A 24029-nucleotide genomic window follows, 5' to 3' on the forward strand; every position below is an offset into this window, starting at 1 on the left:
TGAATGTTTTGAATCAGTTTTATAGCAGTAATGATATAAATTCCCAGAGAGCAAAGATTATGGCATAATGCACACTTACAGCAGGTGTGAACAGTTGTCCAATTAAATCAATTAGCCCAATCTGTCCAACAAGACCAGGCCTTTCATACATTTTCTGCAATAGCACAAATGTAGAACAAATGTTAAAGATACTAAATATTGTGTATTATAATTTTTCTATGTCCTACTATGTACAGAAAAGCTTGCAGTCATCTGCAAGTCTCTCAAGTGAACATCCTACTTCAATAACATCAGACTTTTTGTCCTTGGTAATTATGGTTAAGCCCAAATCATTCCCATGATCTTTCTCTGAGTCGAGGCCTCTAAGAAAAACAATAAATTTATCAACATAATGTCTTCCTTCAGGCTCAAAATTACTGAAAAAAATCAATGGACACTTTAATTTTTCCACAAAATATTACTCTTATAGAAAAATTCATTCATTCTTAATAAGAATAATAGTACTTAAGTAACAACAACATACTTAATTCACAAAGATATGTTGTTGACAAATCAGCAGTTAAGATTTGTGCTCTAAGTTGTTCCTTTGTTTTGCTCTGTGTTTTCAAAGTAGTGGAATGGATTTACAACCTCATCGTACACATACAAGATGGTAAAATGCCTAGACACTTGGATAAGCACCTTGAAAAAAATGCCCAGGACAGACATCAGCAGCACCTTGTTGTAAACAAGTTTTTACATCTTGTCCTTCATCACACCCTAAGCTTCAGAGTTTTAAGAATAAAAACGCAAAAAGTCAAATATGACAATAAGAATATTGCTTAAGTATAGCCTTGAGGGCTACTTCAGCATTGTTTTAAGATGATTACTAGACTTAGTCCCTCTAGTGTTGGATGTTAAATTCCACTGACTTTTTTTAAATTTAATGACTTGCTAATGTAAACTTCCATCTAGAACAATCAAATAGTATGTCATTTATTCAAATTTACAGTGGCTCTAATGTGCCAGCAAACTCCCTTGTCAAAACAGACAACTTTAAAAAATGTTCATTTGAGTCAGGAGTCCTACTTCCTAAATTAGCACCAAAGTGTCACCTTGATAGACCTATGAACAACAAAATCATTTATAATAAACCCAGCTTCCCTCTAGAGTGGACAGCCTAGTTCATGCATCTGTAGGAGTTCCAATTATTCCCTACAGATAAGAGAGCACTTGGAGATGCTCAGGCATCAGCAATCTGTCACCTCCAAATACAATCATCTGATAAATATATGCTTACCAATCTCCCTCGAGATCTGGGTGAAGGCCTCCACACCGCTCTCACCATAGTTCCCCTCAGAAGCCAGTGTCGAAACATAATTCCATCCCAGTGCTGTCACGATGTCCACCATGGCTTGGGCTTGGTAGGAGTCAGGCGGAACCACTCGAGAGAAAAAGTCATACCTGGTGTTATCACTTAGCTCTGGGGCTGTGGATGCATAGCTGATTTGAGGTATCTGCAAAACAAATGATGGGTCATTTCAACCCATGACGAATCTTGAAGAATGATGGATTGTCATATGAGCTAAACAGCCAAGGCTATACCAGAAACCTAGACATATCAACCTGAAGCCAAAATACAGTTTTATGACTACCAATTTAATTGGAAAGTATTTTTGAATGGCCCATAGGCTTACTTTCTCTCAATGCACAATATTTCTAAACAGTGAGAAAGAATTTCATTTTGCTTTAGTTTCCATTGTTTCTGGAGCCAAAGCAAAACATTTGTGCTTTTTGTTGATGTTGCTTTTTGTTGATGTTGCTTTTTTAGTCTGTACATGATAAGCTCTGGTGCAGAAAGGAGAGAAAAATGAAGGCATATACATCAGAAAAGGTCACCTCTGAAACTGGCTTTGGCTTTATAGGACATAAATGCTATACAATGACTAACAGGGAATTTAATATAAGATTTTTTTATACTTGATACCATTTCAGTCTTAAGACTATATTTTTAGTAAATTATTGTAAATATATAGTTTTGCAAGTCTATTGACTGTTTATTGATATAATCAGAGTGCCACAAAAAGATTTGAGAATTGCCAGCAGCCACATATCCTCTCATAGAAACATCATTCTAACCCCCTTCAAAACATCACAGAAAAGGGAATCCAGACCATAAATTCTTTAGAAGAGACTATTTTTCTTTTAATGGGGTGAATTGCCAGAAATTCTTTGAAATGAGGAATCCTATGTCATTTCTCAATAATGTGGGAGAGTGAGCTATGTGATTGTGTATAGTAACTCCTCTGCTGCCATGCTGTGGTATGAGTGAAAGTTCAGAGATCAAAGTGACTCCAAGATGCCCTAATTCAGGTAACTTGAAGATGCAGGTTTGACTTGTACATGAAAAAATTAACTTTATGCTACATCACATGTTGCAGCTAATGTCAGTGCTCAAAGAGGATGTCGGAGTTGCAGTTCCATCTTTCCCCACAGGGCTGCACACTCTGGGATCCAATAGTCCCCACTACAGTGTAGACAGATGATTCCCAATCTATATAAACATTTCAACTCCACCCTTGACATACTTGTAAAGCTCTCAACATCTAAATAACCTTCCTAAGTCTAGAGAGTCCTGTTCCCTACTAGTGGCCAGTGAAATGACAGTGAAGTTCCTAAAACGTAAAAGTCATCCCGGGAGCAGCAGCAGAGCAATGTGCTTGGAGCTGTCCATGGTGCTGACTATTCATTCAGCTTCCATGTAACTTGGATCCACCTGCATTGGCCGTAACAGAGAGTACCCAGAATAGCGTGGCCCATTTAACCCCAAATTCTTTCTGGTTCTGTTCTCCTAGTGGGGACTGTGTTAACTTATTTGTTAACACTGTGGGACCATGAAAACCATCTGACCCACCTCCTCCTGCCCTTTGCCTTCTCTGCCAGATATACTGACCTTACCTTGACAAATTTTTCCCCTGGTTAGATTTTGTGACTGCATAGTACATGACTACTCGCAAGGACACCCCTCCAAATCTCAAACCACACACCAAATCTTGCCCTTTCTCACCTTTTCTTGTTTGTTTTCAGAGGACCTGGGAAGGAAACCATGGATAACTTAGTGAGATCTACCTCTTACTAGGTAAAAATTTCCCAAATATCAAAAGTATGTGCATTCCTATATCCTAACGAAAATAAGTCAGCCATCTGACTTTCACTTTAGAAGAAATTATATGTATGTGCGAGTAGGGGTTGTGTGGGGGGAAGGGAATAGGGGAGCATTCTATAGCAAAATATATAGCCCTACACCATTTCTTTGTCCTATTTGGATACCGATACTCCCACTTCCTGAGCTACTAAGAGTCCAGCAGTAAAATGACTTACACAACTCCCACCCTGCCTATAATAATGAGCCACCCTTTCTAAAAATGAGCAGAAAGTGTGAAAATTGAGTGTTTGAAACCAAAACTAATTATCTCAAATTACTACCTTCAGTCAGTCACTTCCAGGCTGTTTAATTAGCAGTCAGCCTCATGTTTAGGATTAATTAAACAGGTGTAAAGGGTATATAAAATAAAAGTGCAGATAGAAGATGGTTGTTTGATTAATTCAGTAATGGACTTTCTCCCCAAAGTCTTGAAGAGTTTTCTCTTTGCAGATCAATGTGTGGGAAAGCAATGCAAGAGTATGCATTTGTATTTTTATTTTTTCACTCTACAATAATACACATCAGGGTATATGAATAGTATTTCAAGACAAGTTTTCAAGTTTTCATGAAGTCACATCTCATTTTTATTTTATTGTGGTAGACCCCTAAGCATTGGTTCATTAAGCATTTTAATTTCTGTCCCAGCATCCCCAGTATTTCTACCACCCGCAAATTAAACCCTACTGGCAACTGAAGTAAAAATTTTTTAAAGACCTGGAATGTTCCTTTTATTTTCCCTACATCAAATTCACTGCAACTACCCACTTAACCTTGGAGGTTTCATCTACCAGAAACACAGCAATGGAAAAAAAGGTGGTGAATGGTGAAGAGAAGCGGAGGAAAAAAATGAAAGGAAAAAGAAGAAAAGCATCCCAAGAAAAGAAGTTGCTAGGAAAAGCACCCATTATCAGTTCCCCCATCCTTTAAAAAAAAAAGTAGTGTCTTTTATAAGCCTCTGTTAACTCCCATGGCCAATGTAAAGGATAAAATACAAACTCTTCGGTCTGGTTCACAAAGATCATCAGATTCTGTCTCATCTTCCTCCCCTGACCTGTACCTTCTCTCCATATTCTCACAGCATCTGCACCCTTCTCCATACCAGGGAGATTTAATGCTCTCCTCTATCTAATGATCCTCTATACAAATTCAATATCCAGCTCAAAAGTCACCTCCATCTGGGGACAGTTCACTAACTCCATCAGGCAGAGCTGTCTTTTGCTATTCCTGTCTTCCAAAGCCTCCGCCATCTAACATTAGAATCATGACTCTGCTGGCTTATGATCCTCTCAAGACCAAGCAGGGTCTCTGTTTCTTTATTTGGCATCCCCAACACCAGGCAGACCAAGTGCTCAATGAATGTTTGAGGGCAATTAATTAATTAAACTGCTGCAGGAAATTTAATACAGCTTCTTCCCCACCACCTCCTCCCTTGCATTCCACCAAAATATTGTGCAGGCTATTCTCCATTCGACCCTCCTGATCCTTCCCTATCCTGCCAAAGACCCTAGGAGGCTGCTCTCTATGACCATACTGCCTGGGCTTCCTTGCCTCTGGCTTCTAGTTGAGTTTGTCCCGGAGGCACTAGCAGAACATGGGAGGGCGAGGGGCGACAGAAAGAAGTTAGAGTATTTATCCCACAGTTTCTTTTTCCACTGGCTCTGTTTCTCCACCTAACCCCTCACCCACAGCTAAAGCTTTTGCCAGATTCCAGTGACCACTCTGTACCATTGCCCCTGTAAGGTCTCCCCACTGCTGTTGGCTCCGAAGCACTTCATCATCCCTTGTTTTTTCTAACTGTGCCCACACTTACAAATAATCTTTTTGTGAACTGCCCTTTCATTACCCCTGGGTGTGCCAGAAGCCTGATGAACACTCCCCTATGACAAGTCTCTGTAGAAGACAACACTGCTGTGGCTCCCCAATCTCAGCCCTGCCCTAACTTCTTAGCCCTTCTCTAGCCACCTGCCCTTCCAGCCTTCTCTACCACTGTCCCTAGGTGACTTTCTCATTTCCTTTCTTCTTCATTTCCCTAAGGCATCCTACTGCATATTTGAAAACACCTGTCATTTTGCTTTCCTTCATTTCTTATTTTCTTTGTGCTGAGACTTCATAAAAATATCATATGTGCTTAAATAAGGCCATATTTCTATTACTCAAATGAAGCGTATTTGAGTCAATTAATTATACAACTCAGGACACTCATCATCCTCTTTTTTTAAAAAAAAATTGTTTTGGATTCCACTTTTCTAACAATTATTTTGGTTAGGAAAAACGCTTTTTCTTCTCTCACTATATTCTCACTTCAGCCCACAGAAGAGGAGATTCCTACCTCCCAACTCCATTCTCTTTGGGAGCTCCAGAACAAACATTTCCTCTCTCACTCTCCGTTCCTTTACTGACTTTCCCCAACATGGAGGGGGAAAGAAATCAAAGCCAGAGTTCTACGTTTATTGGGCAAAAGGGGATAGCAGGCTCTCTCTTTATTCTCTGACCTGTCCACATACATCTCAGGCTTCTTTTCTCTATAATGTCATGAGACCATGCTGGGCCTCAATTCTTGGAAAGGAAGCCCACCCTCTTCTCTCCATATTCCACTGGCAACCAGACATTTGAGAAATACTTGAAGTCCATGCTACTCACTGCAAGTGAACTTTAAGTCTTCCGTGCAGGCAGAAGTGGGTCCCAAGGTTGAGATATGGTGCAAGAGTAGGAGGCACAGGTTCAAGCTGAATTATCTCGAACGCAGTTCTTAGCAGATAGTCATGTGCCTGGGGAGTTATTTGGTGCTTGCCCAGATGTTAATAAAGCTAATTACTTAATCTACATTTAACTAGCTATTCTGTGAATATTGGACTTGCAAACTCTGAGAAATTCCAAAAATTTAACTTAGAGCTCAAGATTAAAATTATATTTCAAAAGAAATTCATTTACATATATTATTAATAGGAGTTAGCAGAGATTATTGTCTTCTAGTGTCTGTTCTCCTTCTAGATGAAACCTCCAGTTTTTACCTAACCACCCAGAACGTGACTACATTTCCTGGCCTTCCTTGAAATGGTAAGTGAAGCTTCTGAAAAGGATCCTTAAAGGGAGAAGGCATGCCTTTTTCATGATCCTCCCTCTTTCTTGCTGGCTAGAATTTGGACATAATGCCTGGAACTCCATTAGCCATCTTAGGCTATGACCTAGCAATGGTGGAGCAAAAAGCCACACCCTAGTCCAAGCCACTGTGATATCTGGATTCCTAAAGCCACTTGACTTTTCTTCATGCTTCCATTCATGCTCTTCTCAAATCTATGCCACACCAGCAAGAAAACTGGTATTTTACAAAAACAGATCTTAAAGGCTGGGTGCGGTGTCTCACGCCTGTAATCCCAGCAGTTTGGGAGGCTGAGGTGGGCAGATCACCTGAGGTCAGGAGTTCGAGACCAGCCTGGTCAACACGGTGAAGCCCCATCACTACTAAAAATACCAAAACTTAGCCAGGCATAGTGGTGGGCACCTGTAATCCCAGCTACTCAGGAGGCTGAGACAAGAGAATCACTTGAACCCGAGAGGCAGAGGTTGCAGGGAGCCGAAATCACACCATTGCAATCCTGGGCACCAAGAGCAAAACTCTGTCTCAAAAAAAAAAAACACAAAATAGATCTTAGAAAAATCTTGTTTAGAGTCCTTCAATCATTTCCCCATTGCCCTTAGAATATAGCCCAGACCTCCTGTCACAGGATCCTTTGAACTGGCAACTGACCACCTATCCCTCTCACTCACCTGATCCAACTACACTGGCTTCCTTTTTGTTTCACCTGCAGCACTCATACATATCACCACAAACATTTTCCCAAGTAAGTCCTTCCTGGCCTTTCTCATCCTTCAGCCTCAGCTCAACAGACCTTCCCTGACCACCCCATCTAGTGTTGTCTCCTCACCTTCCATTATGACCTCATCACTCTACTTATTTCCTTCCTCTTTCACCACCTGCATTAATTTGTGTATTCTGTTTCCCCTACTAACATGTAGATTCCACAGGGTTATTTTCTGCATTGTTCACAGATGTAACATGAGCTCCCATGAGATAGTAGGTGTTCAATAAATATTCATTGAAAGTAAAATGAGCCCATCCATCCATTAATCAAGAACCCCTTTTGTTATTTTCTTCCATGTATCCTAACTTTGAAATATTTTTCTATAAAACTATTTAAGTTAAAACACCACCCATTTCCAATATTCTCTTTTAATCAAAGATCTGTTCAGCTGCAAAACTTCTGATCAGCACAAGGCATCTGTTTTTACCAAGCTGAAGTGATGGAATTCCAGTTCAAATCACCGAAGTGCCGCTTCAGTTGTAGCCTGTGCAGTCTTCTCGTAGGGAAGCTTACAACTGCCACTTTGCTTTTTGAAATGCCAAAAATGGCCATGAAAACTTCATAACTACCTTGGCAAACACCTTGACAGCCCACGGACTTCAATGTGTCATTAAAGAATAAAAATTACATTTCTAATCAAAGGTCAACATCATAGATTATTTAATCATTTACCCCTTCTTTCTTATCTTTATCTGTAAGATAGATATTCCAGACAGGGAAAAAAGTGCTTACATCTCCCCCAAACCAACTGTGTCTCTCCATGTTGCCTTCACTGAGCCTTCCTGTACATGACTGAGTGATGAAATAAAGGGTCTCTGAGGCTCCAAGGGGATCAGAGACTTTTAGATACCAGAAATACTTTTTGTGGCCCAAGGAAGAACAACTTCAGCTGCCTCAAGGTTTCCCACTGCTTGCACATCAAAACATTGCAATAAGCTTGAAACTTGCCTTGTCTATTCAGAATGCCATAAGTTTTTCATCTGTTCACCACAGTTACTGGTTTGCTAAATATCCCAAGGAAGCCAAGACACCCCTGACAAGGCTAGCAAAAAGCCACCTAAAGCACAGCTTAGAGGAAGCTCCTCCAAATTCTAGGAAATTTCAATCTTTCTGCAAGAAACTTGCATACATCTGAGTACAGATTTGCAGACAGAAGACAATTTAAGACCTGAATCACGTATATTTTCACCATGAAAAAGGGTTTTTTTTTGTTTTTTTCCCCCCTGCCAAAAAAGGTTTTTGTTCTCTGCAAACAACCTTGTCCATTGATCATGGAACTTAATTGGTGAAGTAGGTTGGCGGGGTGGGTTCTTTGTGCTACTCAATAACATCATTGGTTTTTTCCAGTGAAAGATCAGCTTGAAGCCACATTCTTCCCTTAGGGGGTAGTGCTTGACCAAGCACTTTTCCAGTGATGGTGGTTAGCAACAGCGGCCATCAGGATGATAGCTTCCTACCACCTGGCCTTGGGGTAGATTTGTTTTTGCTGCAAAACTCAGGTCAAAAAAAAGCATAATTATTATAGCCATTAACTTTGTCTTTTTATATACTTGACTGCTCTCTAGTATTAAAACTACTAGTTGCTTGTGGCAAAACATCAGTATATAATCAGAAATTAGATATAAATGAGGAGTTAGGGCTAGAAGTCAATGTCCAGCACTGGCCCAACTCTCCCGACACTGCCCTGAGCTTTCATGCTCCTCCCACCTTCATGAAAACAGGCTAAGGAGAGGGAAAAGAAGAAAGGAAATGTAAAGCCAGAGTGTGAAACAAAAAAGAAGATGGATGACTACCCCAAGTTTGCATCCAAAAACATGAAGTAGTAGTATTCCTTCCCCAAATCAGGACTGGCTCAGAATAATCCTGTCCTCATAGTCGACAGTTATTAAGATTCCTGTTTGTACAAGTTGGTGTCAAATAGGAAATTCAGTCTCTGACCTTTTCTTCTCAGTTGAGTTCCCATAGTTGATTCAGAGCAGGATGTGAGCCTTTGGGTTTTGATGCACAATGGAGTTTAACAAAAGCAAAGGAGAGGAAGCCTATTGAAATGGGGAAATCATGGGGTCAAGGAGAGCCAGGAGTACACTATATTGCACCATATTTTTATCTATCTCCCCAACATGAGCTCAGTAAGACCAAGCAAAGCTTTACATACACACCTGCACAAAAGGGGCCTGTGGTTAGTTAACACAGCTGAGTGTAACACAGTTAGTAGGTTTAAGGTCATGAGTTGAATTCCATTATGGGCCAGGATGAAGACCACACCCCTCACCAGAATCTTCCTCTCACAAACACAGAGCACATAACAAAGTCAACCAGAGAGAGGAGAGACAAGATCAATCCATTCTCACTGCTAGATGAATAATTCAAAGATGGTTTGCTACTAATGGTGAACCTAAAATTTTAGCAGCAAATCATGAGACACACTTTCTTCAAAACATAGTGTTTTTGTATCTATATCTGCCTGAAAGTATAAATATATATTACACTTACAAAGTCATATGTTGATTTCAGATAATTCATTTGAATAGACCATTGAATTGTAAAAGGGTACATTTTCTCACCTCCTTTTCATGGGTATTGTATGAGTCATAGAGGGAAAGAAAACAAATGACTCAAGGAGACTAAATAAAGGGACTATTTTCAAGGCAGGAGCAGCATATAGAGAAGGCAGTGGAAAGCCACAACCTAGAAGGAGTCAGAGGTCGAGGTTGGCAGTTGTTACCCATGAGCCCTAAGAGAGAGAGCAGTTACAGAGTCATGAACGGAAGCCACCTTGAGGGGTGCAGTAATCTCTCTAAAAGGACACAGCCAGCCCCTGGCAACCTCAAAAGGAAATTGCATTCTGACCTCTCCCTCATACACACCTCCTGCTGGGTCTCCCTCTGACCAAATCTATTGGAAGCCAGAGAGCAAGAGAACTTGACTTTGCCTGCACAAAGGAACCTTCCACGGCAGCCAGCAGACAGCAAAAGAAAGTGGTTGTGGCAGGCCAAGCAGAAGCTATCTAGCCCAGGCACCATTAATCATTGCTCACTGGACATGTGAACTAAATGTATGGAGAGCTGTGCAGATTTTCAGTTTTCTACATTATATTACTCTTTCATAATTTGATGCTTTCAAATATTTTTGACAGAAAATCTACACTAAGACATTTTGATTTGGCTACTGAAAATCCCAATCCTAAGATTAGACTAATGAAGTCTGGATTTCTTATGGAAAATAAAATAACTAATATCATGTTTTAGAAAGAAATGTAATGATTTTAATCAAATTGGTAATGGCATTTTGACTTCTAACCTGTTTACTTAAAATAAAAGAGAAGCAATCTATGAACATGAAATAATTTACATATAAGCAACCATAATTTTACCCCATAAGATTAATAAACCTTTTTTTTTTACATCTGCTAATTACATTTTACAATAAGAAAGCACAACAGCTCCTTAGGAAAAGAATTGTTCTAATCCATCAAGTCACTAGTAGTGTGGGGATTTTTAAGCCTAACTACCCTAAAAGTTTTACTAGCAAGTTGGATTTAAAACCTTCACTTTCAAAGAAAGGGACTTTAGGCTGGGCCCAGTGGCTTTCATCTGTAATCACAGCCTTTTGAGAGGCTGAGGCTGTAGGATCCCTTAAGGCCAGGAGTTTGAGACCATCCTGGGCAACACAGTGAGACCTCCATCTCTATAAAACATTAAAAAATTTGCCAGGCATGGTGGTGCACCTGTAGCCCCAGCTACTTGGCAGGCCGAGGCTGCAAGATCACTTGAGCCCAGGAATTCTAGGTGACAATGAGCTATAATTGCACCACTGTATTCCAGCCTGGGTGACAGAGAAAGACACTGCCACTCAAAAAATTAAAAAGAGGACTTTAATATTCCAACTAATTTTATAGTTTCTCTAGTTTATAGCATCTCCTTATCTTCAATTTTGCCTTTTTAAAAAATTGAACAGTTTTATTTAAATTTCCATATATTTCAGTACTCTGTGATTCTAAAAAATTATAATCAGTGCATATGCAAAATTACACAGAAATTTAGAAGGCTAAACCAATACATACACTTCTTCTAATAGTTAAATGTTCTTTAATGGTTACTTTTTTATTAATTCATTCAACAAATTAGCTCCCACTACATGCCAGACACGGTGACAGGCCCTGGAGACAGGACTGTAAACAACACATGGTCCTCCCAGCCCCATGGAACATATGACCAAATGGAAAAAGCAGGCATTCAATAAATAATCAACCAAATAAACATTTAACGGCAATTGTAATGGTTGTTGTGAAAGCTATGAACCTGCCGCTAAGAGTTACAGGGCCACTCACCTGGTCCGCAAGGGACAGGGCAAGCTTCCCTGATGAAGTGACATTAAGTTGACACATTGAAAAATGAAGAAGAAAAAGGAATGAACACTGAACACCAGCCACAGATTGCCTCTCACTTGAGATCTCCTTCAGATGTGTATACTACCCAATTTGCAGAAATGAAGAGGACAGGCAGTCTACTGACAGGTACTTAATTTTAGAAAACTTGCCACAGGCTGAAAAATATTAAACCATAGACCACCGTCTCCCATGCATATTACAAATAATGTTTTCAAATACTATATGCAAAACTGGGGTTCTTATGCCAGGACTATCAAGAAAATGCTACGTAATTTATCAGCAGGGACTTGCATTACATTCTCACAGATCTCTGAGTCCTGAGGCTTGTAAGGGTAAGGCATGAATAAATGAATGGATAGATGAAAGGTAAACAGATGAATGAAAACTGAAGACACTAAGAAGCAACTTTAAGTCAAGAGTCCAGAAAAAAAATAAATGTATACTTATATTACTTATAAGCTCTAATATTTGTTTCCTTCCTTAGGAAAGTAAAAAATAAGTGATTGAAAAGTAGGAGGAAACTCTCTTCTTTGTACTCAGGCAGTGAAGGCTTTGGGATAGGACTTCAAGCTATATGAGAAGCAGGTTAGAACTAATTCTAAAAGAACCTGGCTTTGCTTTGCTTTGCTTTGGTTTGTTTCTTTACAAGGTAATATATATTTTCTGCACCTCTCAAGAGGAGGAAAGAGAAATACATGCATCTGTCCACCCCTGGAAACTCTGCTCAATGAGGCAGCATCCCAGGGAGACATGGAGAACTGCATTCCCTGATTTCATTCTTTCTGTTTCTGCCAGTTTCTTTGATATCTTCTTGGAAAAGTTTTCAAGCAGTTTGGGATTTCAAGATGAAATCTCTGATTATTCTTCAAAAGAAAAATTAGGGGAAGTTTTGAAATGAGCTGCTTAAGACAGTGAAAGTTTTCTATAAAGTGATTTTCTTACATGAGTACAAAAAATAATAAATTACATTGTGTTATAATAGAAAAACCAAAACGATGCCATGGCACTTTATTAGCATCATTTGCTAAGTTACTTAAAAATTTAACTCTCCCACCCACTCATTCCCATCACTGCTGACTTCAAACTATCACCTAGCATTTAATTTTCCTCTTCTGCTGATTTCCTTACTGTGCAATCACTGCTGTGGTTCAATTTTTCCCCCAAGCATGTCAGCACTAGAACATTATAAAATAAAAAGTCAGTAATTATAACTAACAAATTGAAGTCAATAAACTTTAAGCTGGCAAATATTCGATTTAGACTGGCATTCTGCCAGCCAATAGTACATGATTTGACTCCTGCAAATAAAGAAGAATGTTGATAAGGACGTTTATGCAAGTAAGTTTCCTGGCTGGCAATTTCATGGATTTTTAGTGATTATCCGCATTCACAAAATCTTAGTCTTCAAGTCATTATTTATCTCCCAGCTAGCATTCAGGTACTGATTCTGAACACCTAATAGCACTGGAAATTCTCATTTACTTTCTGTTACCTAAGTTAGTAAACTTAGTAGATTAGAAGAAGGTACGCATGAGGTTAAACGTCTTCATTCGAGCTCCATTTACACAGGGGGAAAACCCACTCCATTTGCAAAGACCAAAAAGCTGATTTCATAAATGGACATCATTGGTAACAGGAAAAGTTGATAAAAGGATGTAAATGACTCAGAGTCCTTTATTCCACTACATACTACAGAATGCAAGGATATGTTCCTCTGAGAAGGCATCATCTCAGTATCCAAAGGGCAATACATTAAGTTTCCCCTAAACAAATTGATTAGCCCTTTCATCCTATGAACATTTTTGGGAAGCCTAGCTTACTGCTCTCTATAAGCCTTCTTTATGTGTCGTATTCCATAATGTGTGCGTATGTGTGTGTGCGTACACATGTGTACATGTTCATTTTGCCAACATTTATTTAACATGTTATATTGGCCAAGAACTGTGCTTAGTGCTCTAGCTTCATTTCATGAATGACTAAACCATAATCTGGAGAAGTAACTTGCCCAAGACCAAGTAATTTGTAAATGACAGAATAAGATTCAAATCCAGGTAGTCTGACCCCGGATTCATTTCTTAAACTCCTCTACTCTCCGCTACTTTGGGTCCATTTTTAAATCTGATATTAATTCTTCAGTAGCTTTTTTTCCCACAGGTGTTCAGCTTCCTCCCCGTTTCCACCTCTGTTCACATCTACAACTCCTTTATGGTTGTAAGTCATGGCTTGGCTGGAGCTTGGACATCACCAGCCATTGCCATATATGGTATCACAGTGAATAGGAGATACTAGCATCTAAGATCAGCTAAATATTATCTGCCTCCATTGGTTTTCATCAATCCCAATTGCTACTGTTCCTTCTGGGGAGGGGGGCCTCCTGGCCCAGTTGGGTACCAACAAAATGGTCTGAGACAAGTTTGGGGCAGGTTGGACAGCAATCACATAGGTCAACAGGGGAAGGTAAGTGCAAAAAGGGCTAGCCAAGTTCCCAAGTTCAGAGAGAGCACATCTAAATACAACAGGCGATGGGGAGCAGAGGCAAGAACCAAGAAATGGGGCCAGGCGTGGTGGCTCACACCTGTAATCCCAGCACTTTGGGAGGCCGAGTTGGGATTGCTTGAGGTCAGGAGTTCAAGACCAACCTGGCCAACATGGTGAAACCCCATCTCTACTAAAAATACAAAAATTAGCCAGGCATGGTGGTGTGTGACTGTAGTCCTAGCTACTCAAGAGGCTGAGGTATGAGAATCACTTGAACCCGGGAGACAGAGTTTGCAGTGAGCCAAGATTGTGCCATTGCACTCCAGCCTGGGTGACAGAGCGAGATCCTGTCTCTCTCTCTCTCTCTCTCACACACACACACACATGCACACACACACACATACACAAGAAAGAAAGAAAAAAGAAAAGAAAAGGTAGAAGATGACTGAAAGGTGTTCCAGGCATAGGGGACAGCATCTGACAGAAACAAACCTATGAAAGGCTATAGATTGCTTAGGAAAAGCTAACAATTCAGTAGTCTTGGTGAAAGGTGTTCATGAGCCCAGTTCAGTCTGCTTTCTGTTTGTTTGTTCTCGTTTTTCATTTCAACAAGTATTTGTTAAGCACTTACGATATGTCAACACTCTCTTACTTGGCCTAAATGAGAACTCACTCTCCAATTTTCCTCTTAAATCTCTATCTCCTTTGTTGGCTATTCTTCCCTTGTTTCATCCTTTAAGTGTTAGCATTCCTTAGGATGTGGCCTAGACTCTTTTGTGTTCACTTCATACCCACTCCAAACCTATAAATGCAGTCTAAATCTCTCCAGTGAGTTCCAGACCCATGTCTTACTTATTTGACCTCTCTCTTAAGTGTCCAACAGGTATCTCAAAATGACATGCCCAAAACTTGTCACGCACACCAATCCCAGCATAAACTGAAGATCATCTGGTGCACCAGGGGTCCTCAAGTCATAGCTGGCCAATTGGCTGGGTTCCAGAATTATGTGAGTGCCACACACTTTCCAATTATGAAGTTTCCAACTATGCAGCTATCATCTATGCATGGCTTTGGTCTGCCTTGTTTAGCCCTCCCTTTTTTATACCTCTCAGTGGCCAGTTGGCCACCAGAAATGAAGACTCTTTAAAAATTAAATTTAAGGTCCAAATTTCCTCTAGAGGAAAACAAATGCTTATATGTTTTGGTATAAAAGATATGTTCATGTTGCAAAAGATAAATTCAACAGTATTGACTACAGTAACTGTGGTACTAAGTTTTCTCTACAATCTTGCTACTCAGTGCTATCAGCAAACCCACAGCATCAGCATCACCTGGGAGCTTCTTAGAAATGTAGAATTTCAGGCCCCACCCCAGACCTACTGAATGAGACTTTGAATTTTAACAAGATCTCCAGGTGATTCGTGTTCACAATAAAATTGGAAAAGCTCTGCTATAGTATGAAACATTGAATGTGTACTCAAGAGCCCTGTTTCCTTTTGAAATTTTTCCATATCATGCTCAAAGGGATTTAAACACATTCATTGCAAAGATTATTTTTGTAGCTCTGGATGTTGTCATCATGAGGAGATATAAAAGCTCCCTCTAATTCACTTTATGAAGAAGTTGATGCCTTGAACATTATGTTCACTTATCCTAGGATGAACATCTCCTGATCATTAGAAATTTCTTTTCAAAAATATTCTGCATCCAAATTTCTGTTTTTAAGAGTATTATGTTTCAGTTCTTGCATCAAATGCTAGCATGGAGTTTATTTTTAGTGTCATGATAAATCTATAGACCAGTGAATATATCATATCAAGAGTTGAGTCAGTAAAAGCTTTTTAAATATATTTCTTACTTATTTGAAAATAACAGATGAGTTTTTGAAAAATAAAAATTTGGCAAAGCCTGCATGATGAAATGCCAAATAAAAGATGCAATGTACCTTGTCATCGATACATTTTCCATAGCATTTATATGCAGCAGGATAATTTAGTAAGATATTCATTTCTGTCTGATTGTTACTGCTTTAGGAGACGGATGAAAAGATTTATTTTCCTTTGCGCCCTCTACATGAGCAATCAAGCCTGCATGTCTTGGCGAATTAGCTCATTTTCAGGAGACTTGGCCTATAGAGGTTATAGAGCTGAATTACTAGAGCAGGGGCATCTCCCAAGGTTTGAGGAGGAGGAATTTGAAATGGAAATAGAGGGAGAGAATAGTACTTCACCAGAGACTTGGGAATGAGTCTTCTCTGGTAGTGCCTGAGAACCCAGGAACCCTCAAAGAAGCTCATTTCCCATGCTTGCCATAGAAGGAATGGAATCCCCCTCCTTTTAACAGCCCACAGGGGCTACAGTGAGCATCTCCGTGGTTATCTCCTCTGTACCTATATTAGTCCACTCTCACACTGCTCTAAAGAACTATCTAAGACTGAGTAATTTATGAAAAAAAGTCGTTTAATTGATTCACAGTTCTGCAGGCTGTACAGGAAGGATGGCTGGGAGGCCTCAGGAAACTTATAATCATAGCAGAAGGCAAAGGGAAAGCAAGCACAGCAGGGGTGAGGGAGAGAGAGTGCACGCAAAGGGGGAAGTGCCACACACTTTTAAACCACCACATCTTGTGAGAATTCTATCACGAGACAGCACTAGGCGGATGGTCCTAAACCATTAGAAACCACCCCCATGATCCACTCACCTCCTACCAGTCCCCACCTTCAACACCTGGGGACTACAATTCCACATGGGATTTGGGTGGGGACACAGAGCCAAACCATATTAGTAGCCTTGGCAACTGAAGGCTAGGTCTCCAAACTGAATATGATTGAATTGTTGACACCCTAGTGAATGTGGCTCAGTGTCAGAATTATTTGATATCAAAGAAAAAAAGTTCATTTCACTTCAGTTTTGAAGAGCAAATTCATTTCATACACCTACTTTACCTTAGAGAGTAGGCTTATGAGCTGAGGCACTGGGATACACTGCTATTCTTCAGCAGATCCTAGGAAAGCACTTTGTACATAGCAGATAACACATGGACATTGTTGATTAACTGCTTACTAGCGACAGTAAAACAACTCAGGATTCCTGGCTTTTAATATCAACAGTCTACCTAGTAAAACTGCTTCTCAAAAGCTTCCCACATTTTCGGTGCTTAAATGAAAATATACTTTTCTTTTTTTATGAGTAGCTGAATCCTTTTGCATAGACCGTAACTTAGATATATGAAGACATTTATTGTCTTTCCAATTCTAAATTTCTAAATAATCTAAATATGTAAATGTCTCCATAATGCTTTGCTAGAGACTGTATGTAAATATCATTAGGCTTTCTATTTAAAAAAAAAAATGGAAAAAGAAAAAACAGGAAAACCTCTTAGGCACGTCTGTCTTTTAAAAAAATACCATTTCAACCTCAAATTTGATGAGACATACACATTGCTTTTTGGATGCCCTTTAATTTTTTTTTAATTCTAAGAAAAAAAATGGAGGAGATTTAAAGTAGTTTGACATTTAAGAATATAATCTAACTTAAATTAGGATTGAGGTACTGCAAATGTAGACATTTTCTTTTGTAAACAAATAAATAGAAAGTAGGACAACAAGTAGAATTCAAGGTAGCTCAAAAAATGCAGGATGAAAAACACTTGAAAAGAAAATGGAAATACTGAGATAAAAAAAATTCAACACGTCACCAAAAGACTTTTTGGGAGAGGGACTGAGAAGAGTAGGGGGTAGATTAAATATACTGGTTGAGAAACCAGCATTAGAGAAGACTAGGGACTAAGGGTAAGGGGATGAGTGGAGAAGGCAGTGTGGCTTGAGTCAACGTTGAACTTCAGGAACAGGAGAAGAAGATGGGAAAGAGGAAAAGAAAGACTTTTAATCCCCTGTAGCAGGAGATGGAATAAGCAAAGAAGTCACTGTTTTCCCTCCAGCCTTCCATCCCTGCTAAGTGGCTACTATTGAATTAATCATCTGTAAATCATCATTCTGGACTGGCATAGCCTTGGTTTAGGGTGTCTCATTTCATCCATATAATAGTCGCCAGGGCTACTGAGTCCCTTCAAAACTAGTAATCAGCCAGATGTCACAATCAAACATGTCTGTGCCTATACAACTGCTACGGTTTGAATGTTTGTCCCCTCCAAACCTCACGTTGAAATTTCATCCCCAGTGTTGGAGGTGGGGCATAATGGGCGGTGTTTGGGTCCTGGGGGGAATCCTTCCTGAATACGCTAATGCCCTTACAAGGTTGGGGGAGTGAGTTCTCACTCTGTTAGTTCCCTCAATAGCTAGTTATTTAAAAGAGCCTGGCACCTTCCCTCTGTCTCACATTTCCTCTCTGTGTGTGACCTCTGCACACTCTAGCTCCCTTTCTGCCTTCAGCCATGAGTGGAGGCAGCCTCAGGCCCTCATCAGATGCAGATGCCCAATCTTAAACTTTCCAGCCATCAGAACTGAGCCAAATAAACCTTTTTTCTTCATAAATTATTCTTAGCCTCAGGTATTCCTTTATAGCCATACAAAATGAACTAAGACAACTTTATTATTCTGCCCATGGTTTCTAATAAAACATTACCAAATTTTCTTCAAAAATTCCTCAGATCTGTTTCAATATGGGTCAAATATTTTTCAAATATTTTGTAGAATGTATCTTTTTCTTCCCCATAAGAAATAGAAGCCATCAGTTAAAGATACCTCTTAATTTCACATCATCACATGACAAACCTTCCCTTCCTTCTTCCTTTCCCTTTCCCTTTCCTTTCGTTACAAGAAAAAATGTCACCTTTGCTATCTAAAGTGAAGCCTCAACTCTGCTCTGAATTGCACATGCAGCAGCCTTTTTGAGCTTGACACTGTAGATTATTGCCTCTCTCTTTCAAGTCATTAACCACATACTTTCAACTGGGTCCTTTCTACTGGCATTTGTGTATACTCAAGCCTCTCCAATTCAAAAAGAAAACATTTTCAAAAAAGAAAATAAACCATTACTCAACTCCTCATCCAACTCCAGCTCTCAAGCTAATATTTGTCTACCTTTTACAACCAAACTTTAAAATTTCAACTAAGTACCCTCTCCATTGTCTTACCTCCCACTCACTTTTCAGCATTGAGACCGGCTTTTGTCCCAGGGCTGTATTCAAACTGCTCTAAGCAAGATCATAAAACTTTTCATGTCACAAAATCCAATGCTCAATTTGCTGTCCTCATTTCACTTGAATCAGCAACTTTAAAATCTGGACAATATTTTCCTTGGCTTCTACAACACGCTCTCTTGGTTTTCTCCTACCCCTCTAGATATTCCTTCTTTGTCATCTCCTCTAGTTCATCTTTATTTGCTTACAATTTAAAAGTGAGGTTCCCTGAGGCCTGACCTGAGCCCCAATATTTTTGCACCCTTTCATTCTCACAAGATGACAATGTCCAACAAGTTTATGACTTTGATCACTGTCAGTATAACTACAATGCCCAAATTTATCTCTGAAATAGTCAACTCAGACTTCTCTAAAATGCAAACCTACTACCAATTGGATAATGAACCTCCATTTAGAAATTTTAAATTTACCTTAAATTCAACATGATCAGAACTGATTGCACAGACTTGCGCTTCTGGCCAAAACGAAATAACTGGAACCAGATGTAGCCCCTACCCTTTAACAAAATATTGGGAAATCAACCTTAGGAGTATATAAAAAATTAAATAAACAATGACAAGGAATGTAATCAATTCACCATATTAACGGTATAAATACAAAACCATAATTGGTGTAGAAAAAGCATTTGAAAAAATTTAACATCCATTCACAAAATAGATAAATAAACAAATAAGTAAAGTCTCAGCTTATTAAGACTATACAGAAATACCCTCAACGTGATAATGGACATCTGTTGAAAAAATACATCTAAAATCATACCTAGTGGTGAAAGGCTCAATGCTTTTCCCCTAAGAGTCTGCAAGACACAAGACTGTCCATTTCACTGGAAATTAGCAAGCTGATTCTAAAATTTGTATGGAAATGCAAAGAATTTACAATAGCTACAATAATTTTAAAGAATAAGAGCAAATTTGAAGAATTCATTAAATGTTTTCTAAACAAACTATAAAACTACAGTAATCAACAAAGCAAAGATTGGCATAAAGCTAGATATAGAGATTAATGGAAAAAAGTGAAGAGTTTAGAAATGGCTATAAAGATGCCAAGAAAATTCAAAGGGGAAAGGATAACTTCTCAACAAATGGTGCTAGAACTGAATAACCATATGAAGAAAAAAGACACTTGATTCTCATACCATGCATAAAAATTAGTCAAAGTGGACAACTGACCCAAACACAAATAATAAAACTATACAGCAGTACACGCAAGGATACAAAAATACTAGAAGAAAATCTAGGGAAATCTCTTCAGGACAAAACTCTTCTAGACAATGAATTCATGACTAAGACCTCAGAAGCACAAGAAACCAAAACAAAACTAGATAAATGAGTACTTAATTAAACTAAAAAACCTTAACACAGCAAAAGAAATAACAGAGTGAACAGATAACCTGCATAATTAGAGAAAATATTGGAAAACTATGCATCCATCAGGGGACCAATATCCAGAATTTATAAGGAACTCAAACAACTAAACACACACACACACACACACACACACACACACACAAATAACTATTAAAAAGTGAGCAAAAGACGGTTTTCAAAAGAAGATATACAAAGGGCCAACAGACATTTGAAAAAATACTTTACATCACTAATCATCAGAGAAATGCACATTAAAACCTCAATAAGATATCATCTTACACTAGTCAGAACCATTACTATTAAAAAGTCAAAAAACAACAGATGTTGGTGAGGATGCGGAGAAAAGGGAATGCTTTATACTGTTGGTAGAAATGTAAATTTTTACAATCTCTATGGAAAACAGTAAAGAGATTTCTCAAAGAATTAAAAGTAGAACTATCATTTGATCCAACAATCCCACTACCGGGTATCTACCCAAAGGAAAAGAAATAACTATATCAAAAAGATACCTGTACTCATATGTTTATCATAGCACTATTCATAATCTTTGCTAAAGATATGGATTCAACTTAAGTGTCCATCAGTGGATGACTGGATAAAAGAAATGGGGTATATATGGACAACAGAATACCATTCAGCCGTAAAAATAATGAAGCATGTCTTTTGCAGCAACATGAATGGAGCTGCAGGCCATTGTCTTAAGTGAAATTACTCAGAAACAGAAAGTCAAGTATCCGACGCTCCCACTTATAAGTGGGAGTTAAATAATGTGTACACACAGAGTATAGAATGGTAGGTCTAGTACCCTCAGAAGGGTTGGGAAGAGAAATGGGGTGGGTGATGAAAAATTAGTTAATGGGTACAATGAACATTATTCAGGTGATGGATACACTAAAAGCCAAGACTTCACCACTATATAATATGTCCATGTAACAAAATTGCACTTGTACTCCTTAAATGTATTTAAATAATACTACTAATAAAACTATTAGAAAAACTTAAGTGAAAATTTTCACAAAATTGAGGTAAAGATGTTTAGAAAAGACACAAAAAGCACAGTTCATAAAGTAAATTAACAAATTGGAATTCACCAAAATAAGAAACCTCTTCACATATCATTATTAATAAAATATAAGTCAAATCACAGATTGAGGAGAAAATACTTGGGGGCTATATCTGATTAAAGACTTTTACCAAGAATTTTTAAAGAACTCTTACAACTCATAACAATACAAACAGTCCAAATTTTAAAATGGGTAAAAAACTTGAACAGAAATTCAGAAGAGAAGATATACAAATGGATAAATAAAAAGATGCTAAATCATATTACTCTTCAGGGAAATTAAAATTAAAATCAATGAGATATAACTACATACTTACTAGAATTCCTAAAGGTAGAAACTGACAATACCAAGTAGGGCAATGATGTGAAGCAACTTAAACTCTCCTACATTGCAGTTGAGAATGCAAATTGCTACAACCACTTTTGAAATAATTTGGCAGATATATATATCCCTTATGTGTGTGGGGGGTATACACACACTCACATATGTACATATGTATGTACACTTATAAAATATAAATATATGCATCTACCACATAATCCAGCAATTCTACTACTAGGTATACTTACCCAAGAGATATAAAAACATATGTTCATACAAAGACTTGTACTCAAATGTTCACTACAATTTTATTCACAGTAGCCCAAAATTGAAAACAACCTAAATATCCATCAATAGGTGACTGAATAAACAAACTGTGGTGTAGCAATAAAATAAAATACAACTTGGCAATCAAAATAAATTACTGATGAACACAGTAATATGAATGAATCTCAAAACTATTATACTGAGCAATAAAAGCCAATCCCAAAAGATTACATACAATGTGATTCTATTTATTGAAATTCCAGAAAACACAAATCTAACCTACAGTGAGAAAATAGATCAGTGATTTCCTGGGGCCAGAGCAGGGTAAGAGGACTGTAAATGGCACAAGGAAAGTTTTTAGGTGACGGAAAAATGCTATATCTTGATTGTGACTGTGATATACAGGTTTATATATTTGTCAAAACTCATCAAATACTCATTTACACTAGGTGCATATTATTATATGTAAGTTATTATTTAATAAAGATTTTTTTAAATAATCAATGCCTGGTCTCTCCTTCCACCCCAGCACACACCCTTCAAAAACAAGTCCTCCTTAAGTTATTTGAAATCTTGGTATAATGTTTTCTTACTTCCATATCCTTCAACACTCATGTTCATGCAATCACTATATTCTGTTTACCTTCAAAATATCTCGGCGTCTTGACATATCTTATCTCCACTGGCACCTTTAGGCCTATGCCCCATTAGCTCTTACTCACATCTCTTGTGACATCTCAGCAGGCACTCTCATGGCCTTCCAATCTATTTTCCATTCTATTTGCATTTCTCAAAAATATAAAAGATAAAGGGTCTTAAAAATAATGTGTAGCTACTCACCCAATGATGCTCAAAGTTGGTTTGAAAAATCTGGGTTTGAATCTTAAGAAGTGGTTTCCAAAGCTGAGTATCAGAATTACCTGGGTGGCTTTTTAAAAATCAGATTTATTAACCTCATATGGAGATTCTAATTCAGTTTGAGGATGACACCAAGCACTTTCTCCAACTATCCTGATAATCATCTAGTTTTGAGGATCATACTACTCTGATGTCAGTGGAGTTACTGGAAGGTTAAGTCTCATGCCAAGACCATCAAGCTGAGTCATTTTATTTATACCACTGTTTCCATACAGCCTGGCAGCTATCCACTAGGAAACCTGCCCACCAAGTACCAGGTTTACCACTCACTCTTACCAAAGTCATCTGTCTTTATCTGAAAGATCCCTTCAATGGTAGTAATTATTGTAATACTAATTATTGTAAACTTTCCAAGCACTTTTATGTATACTATAACTTTTGCAACTATCTTATAAAGCAGATATCATTATCTCTACTTTATAGGTAAGAAAACTGAGACTTGAAAGTTAGGGTCCTTTGCTTACAAACAGCTAATGAATAACGGTAAGGTTTAAGCCAGAATCTGTCAGATTCCAAAGACCACATTCTTTCTGTGATACTATATAGTTTCCCTAGGAATAAGCAGGGAAAAAAATGTTCCCTGTCATATTCACTGCTTCCTTTATATCTACCTTCTGAATTTGTTCTTCTCCAGTCAGCTTTTGGATGGCAGCTGCCACAGCAGAAGGCCCAGCAAACAACTGAACAATAGCTAATATCTGATTACAACAGGGAAGAAAACTGACAGGACAAAAAACAAAACCACATGAATTAAGGTCCTATGGCAACTGCATTATCAATATTAATCATATGACTTCATAATGACTCCTTATTCACCATATCCAACCTGATAAATTGGAATTATTTCTTCCTACGAATAAATGATATGTAGGAATGTCTATAAGTATGTCAAAATTTCATGCATCGTGAATTTCATAGCAGGAACCCGGCTAAAGTCAACATTCATATCCTAACATTTTTAATAAATCTATAGAATCAAAGGTATAAACCAGAAAATTATTAGCCTTTCAGTTGAGG

The 24029-nt window shown here is 38.3% G+C and overlaps 1 protein-coding gene across 23 annotated transcripts in view; it reads right to left on the reverse strand.

Annotated features, from left to right (window-relative positions):
• Positions 1 to 24029, reverse strand: part of GRM8 (glutamate metabotropic receptor 8) — an 814344-nt gene that overhangs the window by 666619 nt on the left and 123696 nt on the right. For 12 of the 23 annotated variants that reach the window (NR_163850.1, NR_163849.1, NR_028041.1 and 9 more), the window contains one exon: positions 1280 to 1496. Coding sequence is in view for 18 of the 23 variants with exons in the window: in NM_000845.3 (NP_000836.2) it covers positions 1280 to 1496 (217 nt within the window). In the remaining 5 variants the exon portion in view is untranslated. The other 11 variants (XM_047420269.1, XM_047420272.1, XM_017012078.2 and 8 more) reach the window with 11 other exon arrangements.

Source organism: Homo sapiens, chromosome 7 (genome assembly GCF_000001405.40).
Source record: "Homo sapiens chromosome 7, GRCh38.p14 Primary Assembly".
Classification (NCBI taxonomy): Eukaryota; Metazoa; Chordata; class Mammalia; order Primates; family Hominidae; genus Homo; species Homo sapiens.